At 43.1% G+C, this 12,553-nt stretch overlaps 1 protein-coding gene across 1 annotated transcript in view, besides 6 other annotated features; it reads left to right on the top strand.

Annotated features, from left to right (window-relative positions):
- The window catches only part of NID1 (nidogen 1), an 89,261-nt gene that overhangs the window by 20,869 nt on the left and 55,839 nt on the right, over positions 1–12,553 (top strand). Inside the window, exons 4-6 of the mRNA NM_002508.3 lie at positions 1,930–2,312; positions 5,969–6,118; positions 11,570–11,821. Coding sequence (NP_002499.2) covers positions 1,930–2,312; positions 5,969–6,118; positions 11,570–11,821 — 785 coding nt within the window. The remainder of the gene's footprint in view (positions 1–1,929; positions 2,313–5,968; positions 6,119–11,569; positions 11,822–12,553) is intronic.
- Positions 3,885–5,885: a meiotic recombination region, noted in NCBI's record as "crossovers mapped in sperm cells of males of European ancestry". NCBI's record gives the evidence for it as "EXISTENCE:DNA detection assay evidence [ECO:0005519][PMID:16543360, PMID:15987698, PMID:15880103]".
- Positions 3,885–8,164: a biological region, named in NCBI's record as "meiotic recombination hotspot NID1".
- Positions 4,078–8,164: a meiotic recombination region, noted in NCBI's record as "this region was identified as a recombination hotspot within the HapMap YRI population". NCBI's record gives the evidence for it as "EXISTENCE:nucleotide sequencing assay evidence [ECO:0000219][PMID:20981099]".
- Positions 4,124–5,769: a meiotic recombination region, noted in NCBI's record as "meiotic double-strand break mapped by DNA meiotic recombinase 1 chromatin immunoprecipitation followed by single-stranded DNA enrichment and sequencing in the germ cells of some male individuals with the PRDM9 A/A genotype". NCBI's record gives the evidence for it as "EXISTENCE:chromatin immunoprecipitation-seq evidence [ECO:0000229][PMID:25395542]".
- Positions 4,241–5,913: a meiotic recombination region, noted in NCBI's record as "this region was identified as a recombination hotspot within the HapMap CEU population". NCBI's record gives the evidence for it as "EXISTENCE:nucleotide sequencing assay evidence [ECO:0000219][PMID:20981099]".
- Positions 6,460–6,475: a nucleotide motif, noted in NCBI's record as "nucleotide motif; similarity to the predicted 16-mer PRDM9 C-type binding motif, CCNCNNTNNNCNTNNC".

Below are 12,553 nucleotides of genomic sequence, written 5' to 3'. Positions count from 1 at the left end.
AGTCCATATAAGCTCCCACACACCACTGTCTTTACTTGAATCCCAGGCAGACAAATTGATTAGACATCCTATTTATGCAGGACTTTTGTGATTTATCATCCCCACCCCACCCCATTGTTTTGCTCAGTATTTTCCACTGAGTAATGTATGTCCCCTCTGTCCACCGTATAATATAATTATTTCATGTAATTTCTGATAGGAGCACTTCCAATCACAGACACAGAAGAATGGTAAAAATGGTGGAGGAAGAAGTAGAGATTAGGGATATTCTACTATATTTTATAGTTATAAAATGCTTTTGGATTTTGTATCTCATTTGCTTTTCACCATATCCTTTAAGCACCAAAGGTAAACTGAGACTAGTCCAAGATCTCACAGCCAATGGAGTTGGGATTTCTTTTTTTGTTGTTTTTGTTGTTGTTTTGAGATGGAGTCTTGCTCTGTCGCCCAGGCTGGAGTGCAGTGGCACGATCTTGGCTCACTGCAAGCTCTGCCTCCCGGGTTCACGCCATTCTCCTGCTTCAGCGTCCCGAGCAGCTGGGACTACAGGCGCCCACCACCACGCCCAGCTAATTTTTTGTATTTTTAGTAGAGACGGGGTTTCACCATGTTAGCCAGGATGGTCTCGATCTCCTGACCTCATGATCTGCCCTCCTCAGCCCCCCAAAGTGCTGGGATTACAGGTGTGAGCCACCGCGCCCGGCCCTGGAGTTGGGATTTCTAAAAAACCACGTCTGCAATGTTTTCACTCACACTTCTGACACCAAATGGGTGGGGTTTTTTTTCCCACACCAACCAATTCTCTGCACACCAGCCGGGTGTCCTACACTTCAGTTCAATTCTAGCACTGGCGTTACTGCAGACCCCACAGGTTAAGGGCTCAGTCCCACAGGACTGCCCCCACTTCAGATGCCAGTCCCAAGTCCTGTGTTTCCACCTGTACTTCTGACCAACCAGCTATAAATGGAGGGTTTCCATGGCATGCTCCTCAGATTTGATAATTTGCTAGAATGGCTCACATAACACAGAAAAATGCTTCACTATTACCAGTTCATTCTAAAGGATACAACTCTGGAACAACCAAATGGAAGAGAGGCATAGGACAAGGTATGGGTAAGGGGGCAGGGTTTCTATGCCGTCTCTGAGTACACCAGCCTTCCCGCACCTTGATGTGTTCAACCCAGAAGCTCTCTGAACCCCATCATTTTAGGGTTTTTATGGTGGTGTTATTTCATAGGCACAGTTGATTAAATCACTGATCCTTGGTGATTGACTCAATCTCCAGCCCATCTCCCCTCCCTGGAGGCAGTGGGGAAAGCTGGACATTCCAACCTTCTAATCATGCCTTGGTCTTTCTGGCCACCAGCCCCCATCCTGAAACTGTCTAGGAGCTCCCAGCCATCAGTCAACTCATTAGCCTACAAAAGACACTCTTATCACTTCAGAAATTCCAAAGGCTGTAGGAGCTCTTGTTTCAGAATGTGAGGACAGAGACCAAACATGTATTTTCAATTGTATCATACCATGTCATGGAAAGAGATAGTGGAGAGCATGAATGACTTCAGTCCTAAAGCCACTGTCAGTCCTATGAGCCACCTTAGCTCATAAGGTAGAGCATGTAACCAGCAATTAGGATGAGCAAGTTGAATTTTAAGTCCTGATAGTGTCCCTGGAGCACACTTCTGGAATGGCTGGGACTGAGCTTGTGCTAGTATTGTGCCCATTTGGACACAGTCTCACCAGACAGCCCTAGACTGCCTCAGCCACATGACGCCCAGACATGACGGCCAGTGCCCTTCCACTCTCCAGTCCTAGCTGCAGGTGATGGCTTGCAGACCAACACAGATCCTCAGGGCTCCCTCTGCTTGGGTAGTGGTGGCTGTTGGTGGGTTGCTGGCCTGTTTCTAAGAAGCCTGTCCTTCCTCCTAGGAGTAGTAACTCTGGGCAGCAGGGTGTCTGGGTGTTTGAGATTGGGAGTCCAGCCACCACCAATGGCGTGGTGCCTGCAGACGTGATCCTCGGAACTGAAGATGGGGCAGAGTATGATGATGAGGATGAAGATTATGACCTGGCGACCACTCGTCTGGGCCTGGAGGATGTGGGCACCACGCCCTTCTCCTACAAGGCTCTGAGAAGGGGAGGTGCTGACACATACAGTGTGCCCAGCGTCCTCTCCCCGCGCCGGGCAGCTACCGAAAGGCCCCTTGGACCTCCCACAGAGAGAACCAGGTCTTTCCAGTTGGCAGTGGAGACTTTTCACCAGCAGCACCCTCAGGTCATAGATGTGGATGAAGTTGAGGAAACAGGAGTTGGTAAGACCATTTAAGTTGCAGTTGGTAACGATCTTGGATGTGTGGGCTTCCAGACAGGCGTACTGCTGGGGAGATGTCAGTTGTGAGCATTACATGGTGGTTTGTAAAGATAAGAGCTTGGGAAAGTAGAGGCTGAACTCTCACAGCCGTGGAGCCTTGGTGTTATATGCCCAGTGGCTTCAGAGATGCTCAGTGATCTTTTGGGATTAGGACCATGGTTTTGGAGACTGTTGAGTGTGTCTTCTTTCAAGTTTCCTAGTATTCCGTTCTGTCTGTTTTAAAGAGAAAACGTCCGTTAGAATTGTTTTGAAAGTCAGATTTTCTTGTGATTTCTCAGATCAGAAATGTATTCATCCACCTGAAAAAACATTTTAGAAGTTCTTTTGGCTGTCTATGAAGCTTATCTTTGACATTTATTTCCTCTTGGTTTTGGAATTAGAATTGTTGATTATTTTTCTTCCCAGGTCCCGTCAGTTTCAGAGTTGGTTTGTGAAGATTAAAAAATATATATATATCAAAGTAGATACTCTTTAAAAAAAAATAGGGTCGGGGGTGGTGGCTCACACCTGTAATCCCAGCACTTTGGGAGGCCGAGGCAGGTGGATCACAAGCTCAAGAGATTGAGACCATCCTGGCCAACATGGTGAAACCCCATCTCTACTAAAAATACAAAAATTAGCTGGGCGTGGTGACACACGCCTGTAGTCCTAGCTACTTGGGAGGCTGAGGCAGGAGGATTGCTTGAACCTGGGAGGCAGAGGTTGCAGTGAGCCGAGATCATGCCACTGCACTCCAGCCTGGCAACAGAGTGAGTCTCTGCCTCGAAAAGAAAAAAAAAGTTTTACAGTACATTTTCTGGTCAACTATGTTATATCAGATTTTTGCTACATTTTGAGGGAAAATAGAACTCCTGGATGCTTTCATTTTTCTTATAAAAGATGTTCTAGCCAGGCACAGTGGCTCATGCCTGTTATCCCAGCACTTTGGGAGGCCAAGGCGGGTGCATCACCTGAGGTCAGGAGTTGGAGACCAGCCTGGACAACATGGTGAAATCCTGCCTCTACTAAAAATGCAAAACATTAGCCAGGCGTGGTGGCAGGCATCTGTAATCCCAGCCAATCTGGAGGCTGAGGCCAGAGAATCGCTCGAACCTGAGAGGTGGAGGTTGCAGTGAGCCGAGATCGCTCCATTGCCCTCCAGCCTGGTTGGCAAGAGCAAGACTCTGTCTCAAGAAAAAAAAAAAAAAAGATGTTCCAACTAAACTGTCCTCATTATTTTTTTTTCACATTAGTTTGATACGGAATCCACTAAGACTCATATAAATGGGATAGTCCAAGCCTTTAGATAAGCTTATTGCAGCTGTCTGCTGCTTTTCTACTAAGGAATGATCATAAAACTCTTAGAGAAGTCTGGCCCATTCCACACTGTTCACTCATTTTTATTTGCCCTTACTTGTTCTGATTTATCTCACAGCAGTAGCCATACACGCTTGTTCTCACGAGTATCCCAAACTGTGGACGAGATGGGGTGCTTACTGGCTGGCGTGCTGACTTACTTCTGAGGCACGGAAATGGAGAAGCTGCCATTTGGTGGCAGGACAAGGACAGGGGCTCATGTCTTAGGTTCTCCTACTGCACCCTGGGTTCCTGGGGTGATGCTTACATTGCTCAGCACATGCCACTCTGCCGTGGGTTTTGGAGTCATCTCCCCCAGATGTGTTGGGTGTGTTTCCTTGCATATGTTGGGTTTTGAGTTCCATCCTGTCTCCACCCTTTCTAGGTGTCTCTGAAATTCTCATTTGTGAAGCCATCACATTTGAATGAGACCATATCCAGCCCAACAACTTGGGGCAGTGTATTACTTAAGACTGAAAAAAGCCTAGATTTGAACGCAGATTGTGTCTAAAACAGATGTTTTCCTGTCCCTCTACCCCAGTTATTTCCCTATGTTGAAGAGAAAGGTCAGTCTTCTGTGGCCAGTAGTGCATTCCTGGTGTTATTTGAATAGTTCACATGTACACAGGCCATAATGACCCCTGAGAGCTCTGCCCACAGCTGGAGTTTAAGTAATCAGCGGCATCACGTGTTCAGTTCAGGGCTCAAGTGTGCTCGGCTCCAAACGCTGTCTTTATAAAGCCAGAAATTCCCTTCCGAGTATGTAGGACTCATAGAGTCTACCTGGGTTTAAACTTTGCTTTTCTCTTCACTCGTAACAGTCAATTATGAATGGGATCATTATCTTCTCTGAAAGTTTACCCCTCTTGTGCTTTTGAATTTCATTCCAAATTAATTTGCTCGGGATTATTAAATATAATGAGCTAGTTCATGATTCTAATAAAACAAAGTTGGAATGTGGAAATTTAAAATAGGGAGATGTTCTTTTTCTTTCTTGGGTCAAAGGCTTTTTAGCCCAGGTGTGACTAGGGCATTATTTTTGTTCAGCTTTTGAGTATAAGTGCTTCCAAATTATTCCTCAGGGAAAAGTGTATGTTGGGGTGGGGTGGGAGGTGATTTAAAATTAAAAAGAATATAAGCCAGGCACAATGGCACCCGCCTGCAGTCCCAGCTACTTGGGAGGCAGAGGAAGGAGGATAAAATATATGTACATATTTTAAGGTTGTTAAAATGGCAAATTTTATGTTATATATATTTTACCACAATAAAAAATTAAAAAAATTATATCATATAATTATATGTAGTATATACTGTATTATATATTATTATATAACATATAAATATATTTTATCTGTTATAATGTATTATAATGTAATATATTGTATTTTATATAATGTAATATAATGTAAATATATATTATATAAATATTTATAATGTAAATATATATAATGTATATATAAATATATAATGTAAATATATATTATATAATATAATGTAAATATATATTATATATTTACATATATGTATATGTACATATTTACATATATAGTTACACATATATGTTATATATTTATATTTAATATATATTACATATATGTAATATATTTATGTTATATATGACCTATATAACATAGGTAATATATATTATATATGACCTATATAACATAGGTAATATTTATTATATATGACCTATATAACATAGGTAATATATATTATATATGACCTATATAGCATAGGTAATATATATTATATATGACCTATATAACATAGGTAATATATATTATATATGACCTATATAACATAGGTAATATATATTATATATGACCTATATAACATAGGTAATATATATTATATATGTTTTAATATATATTTTAAGAGTCCCCCCAAACATGAAGCTCATTGTTCTCACTAGTTTGGATGGACACCATCCTGAGATTGCTATTGGATAGCACTAATCTAACATTGATGCCAAGTACACTAGATTCTAGCAGTTTTCAATAATTAATAATCACCTTGTGATTTCTCAACTCCTTTTAGACCTGTTTGCCTCAGTGATGTGAGTTTCACCATGTTGCCCAGGCTCACGTAACTATTTAAGTGGCTACCTGTAGGGGATTGTAATCTTCTGTAGTGAGCCTGGTCCCTTGAATTGCCCATGCAGGTGTGAGTCCCTGCAGTGCTTGAGGGTGCCTAGATGAGAGAGCCCACCGGGCTAGAGCTGCATGAAATGCTTACAGGTGTGCAATTGTTTTCTTGGACCAGTTTTCAGCTATAACACGGATTCCCGCCAGACGTGTGCTAACAACAGACACCAGTGCTCGGTGCACGCAGAGTGCAGGGACTACGCCACGGGCTTCTGCTGCAGCTGTGTCGCTGGCTATACGGGCAATGGCAGGCAATGTGTTGCAGAAGGTAATTTGCTTTTCTATGTTCGTTTCATGCGGGAGAAGGAGGAGCGGAGTTTTTGTTTTGGTGCTCGTTTTCCATGTTGCTTTACCCACATCTCCGTAGGTGTGTAGAGTTTTTCTTATGGCAGCCATACATGGTCTCTCTTTCCTCATTTTTTCTCGTATTCTCTACAGGCATCCCCCAGGAAGGCCCATTTTTCAAATATGGCAAAGTCTTCCTTTCCTGTGCTATTTCTCCATCTCAGGGGACAGTCACTGGGAGCCCATCTTCACAACTGCGTGGTGTGTGGCCACAAAGGCCGTAGTGTTAAAATTATGCAGCCTGGACAAAGAATTGTTTATGTCCCTCACTTTCCTTCACTTCTTTGAAATCTCTTTCATGTATTTTTTTCTTAGAGTCTCTCTAATTTTATGTTGTGTTGCTCACAGACCTATGTTTTTTTTTTTCTTGAGACAGAGTCTTACTCTGTCACCCAGGCTAGAGTGCAGTGGTGTGACCTTGGCTCACTGCAGCTTTCATCTCCCAGGTTCAAGTGATTCTCCTGCCTCAGCCTCCTGAGTAGCTGGAATTACAGATGTGCGCCACCAAACCCAGCTAATTTTTGTATTTTTCATAGAGATGGGGTTTCTCCATGTTGGCCAGACTGGTCTCAAACTCCTGACCTCAAATAATCTGCCTGCCTCGGCCTCCCGAAATGTTGGGATTACAGGTGTGAGCCAGCGCGCCCAGCCAGACCTATCTTAATGGTTGCTAAGTCCCAGCAGGGCCACAGAAGGCTGGCTTAGACCAAAGTCTGTGGCAAGTAAAGTTTATCCCATCATCCTCTCCCTCCTGTCTCTCTTTCCTGGTGCTCCTGAAGTCATAGCGTGGTTACAGTTGAGCATCAGAGATGCACCATGGTTAATGCTGGGGTGCCAATTCCAAATGGATTCGGCTATGGGCCAATGTCCATTCTAAACTCTGCCCTCAAAAGGATCAACTGGTTTGGATGCTTGCAGATGGTCAGGAGAATCCTTTCTGTGCAAATCTGGGGGTCCTGGTAATGTTCACTCGGTGCACCATCTGGGAGGCTGGAATTTGTCTTAATTCCAGAATTAACACAAAAATGGCAAAACCCCACCATGTTAAACGTTCCTCCCTTCAGATGCGGTCTTAGTCACTTTTCTGATGCTTCTAGCAGAATACCTGAAACTGAGTAATTTATAAAGAAAAAAAATTTATTTCTTACAGTGATGGAGGCTGAGAAGTCCAAGATCAGGGGGCCACATTTGGTGATGGCCTTGTTTCTGGTGGGGGCTCTCTGCAGAGGTGGTACAGGAGGCTGAGCATCCTGGGTCGGGTCTCTCTTCCTCTTCCTGTAAAGCCATCAGTCCCATTCCCGTGATAACACATTCATCCATTAATCCATGACTGCATTAATTCATTCTTCAGGGCAGAGCCCTCATGACCCAATCAGCTCAGAAAGGCCCCATTTCTAAATGCTATCACATTGGGGATTAAGTTTCAATATGAGTTTTGGAGGGGACATTCAAGCCATAGCAGATGCCAACAAATTGTCTCACTTGTCGTGGGTCATTTTCCTTGTGTGTTTAATGTGGAACTTCAATTGCTTTGCAAAAATTGACTAAATAAAAGTCAACTGGAGGAATGGTTTCTGCTTTTCAGAACCCCTACCTGCCATAGTTATAATTAAATTCGTTATCATTTCAAGTTGCTAAAAACAAAAAATCATTTCCTTCTGTGTCCCCATTAGATAAAGTGAGGTTTTAAAAAATACTACCTTCAGCAATGGAAGACAATTGAGTATGCTTTACTTATTAATTTTAGGGGATGTTATTAACTTCTAAACTGTTTTTGATTTTCTTTTAAATCCCATCACCCCAGGGGTGGTGTGTCTTTGCTTCTTTGTTTCAGGCTTGGCTTTTGTATCTTCTCCATCCCAGGAGAAGCTTCCAAAATCCACAATAAAAGCTTATTCTTAAAGAGCAACCTCTTAGCCTTTTCTACCCCAAATATCAGAGCTTGAAATGCTGAACAGTTTGTGTTTGGCAGCCAGCTCAGATATGACAAACTGTTCAGCCACATATTTTGACATTATATACACACCCTGGAATAGATTTGTGGTTTAAATATTTGTTGGATTCTTGCTACTTAAAAAAAAAATGTTTCTAGCTCAAAGTTTGGTGGAAAATTTTTTGTTTGGTTTCTTAACTTGGCCTTCTTGCTTGTTTTCCTGATTGTTCTTGGGATACCTTTTTGCGCTGTTGGCCAGCTAACTTCACAGTGTTCCCCGGAGTAATGATGCAACGTGTGTGCAGAATGACTCTGTTGGATATGTCCTGGCTGATCAGAGAACCTGTTGAGCCGTTTGGGCGTATGGAACCCAACGAAAAGTCATCAGAACGCAGCTGATCCCCGGATGGCAGCCCCTGCCTAGGGCTATTCAACAACATTCACTGAGAGAGGATGTGGAGAAATAGGAACACTTTTACACTGTTGGTGGGACTGTAAACTAGTTCAACCATTGTGGAAGTCAGTGTGGCGATTCCTCAGGGATCTAGAACTAGAAATACCATTTGACCCAGCCATCCCATTACTGGGTATATACCCAAAGGACTATAAATCATGCTGCTATAAAGACACATGCACACGTATGTTTATTGCGGCATTATTCACAATAGCAAAGACTTGGAACCAACCCAAATGTCCAACAATGATAGACTGGATTAAGAAAATGTGGCACATATACACCATGGAATACTATGCAGCCATAAAAAATGATGAGTTCATGTCCTTTGTAGGGACATGGATGAAATTGGAAATCATCATTCTCAGTAAACTATCGCAAGAACAAAAAACCAAACACCGCATATTCTCACTCATAGGTGGGAATTGAACAATGAGATCACATGGACACAGGAAGGGGAATATCACACTCTGGGGACTGTGGTGGGGTGGGGGGAGGGGGGAGGGATAGCACTGGGAGATATACCTAATGCTAGATGACGAGTTAGTGGGTGCAGCGCACCAGCATGACACATGTATACATATGTAACTAACCTGCACAATGTGCACATGTACCCTAAAACTTAAAGTATAATAAAAAAAAAGAAAGAAAGAAAGAAAAAAAAAAGAAAACTCTGCCGAGAACCTGTGAGGGGCTGGGTGTGAAAGTCCTGACCCTGTGATGATCATAATCTAGGAACAGAAATAAGATATGTACAATCAATAACTGAAAGTAATACCACATCAAATATAAACAATGCAATGTAACCTTTGTTTTCCCTCTTCCTTCAGTTTTTGTTTTCCTGAGATATAATTCACATACCTTTTTAAAGTATACAATTTGGTGGGTTTTAATATATTCACAAAGTTGTCCAACTATTACCTCTATCTAATTCTAGAACATTTTCATCACCCCCAAAAGAAACACCGTGTCCATTAGTAGTCACTCTTGATTTCTCAAAATGCCCCCAGCCGCTGTCAAGCCCTCACCTACTTTCTGTCTTTATAGGTGTTCCTATTCCAGACGTTTCATGCACATAGAATCGTACAATACATGACCTTTTGTGTCTGACTTCTTTCCCTTAGCATGATGATGATTTCAAGGTTCATGGCCTGTTTTAGCCCATATCAGTATTTCATGCCTTTTTCTTTTTCTTTCTTTCTTTTTTTTTTTTTTTTGAGATGGAGTTTCGCTCTTATTGCCCAGGCTGGAGTGCAATGGTGCAATCTCAGCTCACTGCAACCTCTGCCTCCTGTGTTCAAGCGATTCTCCTGCTTCAGCCTCCTGAGTAGCTAGGATTATAGGTGACCGCCACCATGCCTAGCTAATTTTTTGTATTTTTAGTAGAGACGGGGTTTCACCATGTTGCCCAGGCTGGTCTCGAACTCCTGATCTCAGATGATCCACCTGCCTTGGCCTCCCAAAGTGCTGGGATTACAGATATGAGCCACCAGGCCCAGCCTCATGCCTTTTTCTAGTTAAATAATATCTTAATGAATGGAGGTACCGTATTTTGTTTATCCATTCATCAGTTAATGGACATTTGGGTTGTTTTCCTTTTGGCTCTGGTGAGTAATGCTGCTAAGAACATTTGTGTTCACGTTTTTGTGTGGACACATGTGCTCCTTTCTCTTGGCTGTATACCTAGGAATTAGAATTGCTGGGCCATACAGTAACCTTCAATGTTCTTATTTGAATACAACAAACAGCAATTTAATTTCTTTAGTTCTTATTTTTTTCCTGTTTAAACAATAATAAATATATGCAAGTTATAAATACTCAAAAATTATAAAAATTTATAGTATAGGAAATGAATTCACCACGTTTGCCCTGAGTTAACCATTGTTAGCAGTTTTCCCCCAGGTATATGCCAACATTTATCATGAATGTAATTTTTTAAGCAAAAATGGTATCCCAGATCAATTTATTATCAAGGTATTAAGGAGGCTTTTAAATTTGTCATAGTAGGTCTCAATTCCATCGTTCCCAGTTGTCTAAATGGAACAAGCAGCACCAGACACGCCAAGCTGGTTCTGGTTCAGAGGGCATGACTGTGTAGCCTGGGCGGTGACTCTGTACTTGTCTGTGTGGCTTGTGCTGGCTGAGGCTCCAAGACTCAGACTGGCAGTGCTAACGCTGGGTGGTGGGACTGTATATGAGCTCACAGTGTTTATTAAAGTGTGTTATAGATCAGGCAGGCAAATGTCTATACTCCCAGGGCCATTCAGGTTAGCCTTGCTGTCCCAATGAAATGAGCAATTCCACACTCCTTTTACTCTCTCTCTCTCTTTTTTTGAGACAGTCTCGCTCTGTCACCCAGGCTGGAGTGCGGTGGCATGATCTTGGCTCACTGCAACCTTAGCCTCCCGGGTTCAAGCGATTATCCCACCTCAGCCTCCTGAGTAGCTGGGACTACAGGCACCCGCCATCATGCCCAGCTAATTTTTTTATTTTTAGTAGAGACAGGGTTTCGCCGTATTGGCCAGGCTGGTCTTGAACTCCTGACCTCAGGTGATCTGCCTGCCTCGGCCTCCCAAAGTGCTGGGATTACAGGCATGAGCCACCATGCCCATCCTCCTTTTACTCTCAAATGTGATAAATTCTATGGTCGCCTTAGTTCTAGGTCACCCCTGATATTCTTCTTCTTCTGAAATTCTGTTTTTAACTCCTGCAGTTCCTCAATGGCTGTCCGTGGAGACAGCTTTCGTGCTATCCATTTTCAGTCACAGGAAGAGAGGCAGGGGCATTGGAATTTTGAAGGCCCGCAGCATACAGTTGTGGGTAGTCTCAGGAAGAACAGCTGCTTTTGCTTACCCAAAGCCATTGACCCCAGTGCTGTTTTGTTTCTTTGCTTTCTTCACCAATAGGTACAGGTCCTACATATTACTCGTGTTTGAAAGACTGGCTTGGAAGTGATCTCTATATTCTTTCTTTGTTTTCTTGCTCAGGTTCCCCCCAGCGAGTCAATGGCAAGGTGAAAGGAAGGATCTTTGTGGGGAGCAGCCAGGTCCCCATTGTCTTTGAGAACACTGACCTCCACTCTTACGTAGTAATGAACCACGGGCGCTCCTACACAGCCATCAGCACCATTCCCGAGACCGTTGGATATTCTCTGCTTCCACTGGCCCCAGTTGGAGGCATCATTGGATGGATGTTTGCAGTGGAGCAGGACGGATTCAAGAATGGGTTCAGCATCACCGGTAATTTATATCCGACATTAAAATTAGTGGGTCACACAGTAGTGCCTAGGGGGAGGCCTGGGGATGGATGGAAGGAGAACTCTGAGTCTGCAGACAACTTAGAAGCATGTTGTTGCTCCTTTTTGTCTGTAGACAGGGCATCCTGTAGTTCTGTCTTGGAAATAAGATGATGAGGTAAAATGAACATGTAATATTATCATTAATATATAGCAACTGAGACTGCCTAGAATTGGGTTTTGATTGAGGAGCAATTTCGTGGTGGAGATTTAGGCGTTTCTGGCAGAACAAGTGATATCAGCTCGTAGAACCTCACAACTTCACAGTTTGCCTCATTCTATCAAGCCTGCCTCTGAATTCCAAACCAACCTGAAACTGATCTCAAGCCTGCCTCTGAATTCCAAACCAACCTGAAACTGATCTTTGATATTTCCTCAGGATTTGCTCAGAGAGAAGGAACCTGCCATTTCTAGCTAGTTACTTAAGCTGCATAAACATAATCCTCAGAAGTCTTAGGAAGCCTAGATATCCTTGGAGTTTTTTAGAGACTGTGCCCTATTGAGGAAGGTTCAGTCTTTACTGGACGCGTGGGCAGATGGCTTGAGGGATGTTTCCTTGGTGTTGTGGTGGCCTTCCCCTTGCCCTGCCAAGACCAGCCCAACCTTTGCATGCTGGAGACCCATTCCCGAGAACAGCTGGGTTGGAGGAGTCTGTGTCCTTCATCGCTGGTCACTT

Source organism: Homo sapiens, chromosome 1 (genome assembly GCF_000001405.40).
Source record: "Homo sapiens chromosome 1, GRCh38.p14 Primary Assembly".
Lineage (NCBI taxonomy): Eukaryota > Metazoa > Chordata > Mammalia > Primates > Hominidae > Homo > Homo sapiens.
Note: the sequence above shows the minus strand (reverse complement) of the source record. Positions and strands in the feature narration are given on the sequence as shown.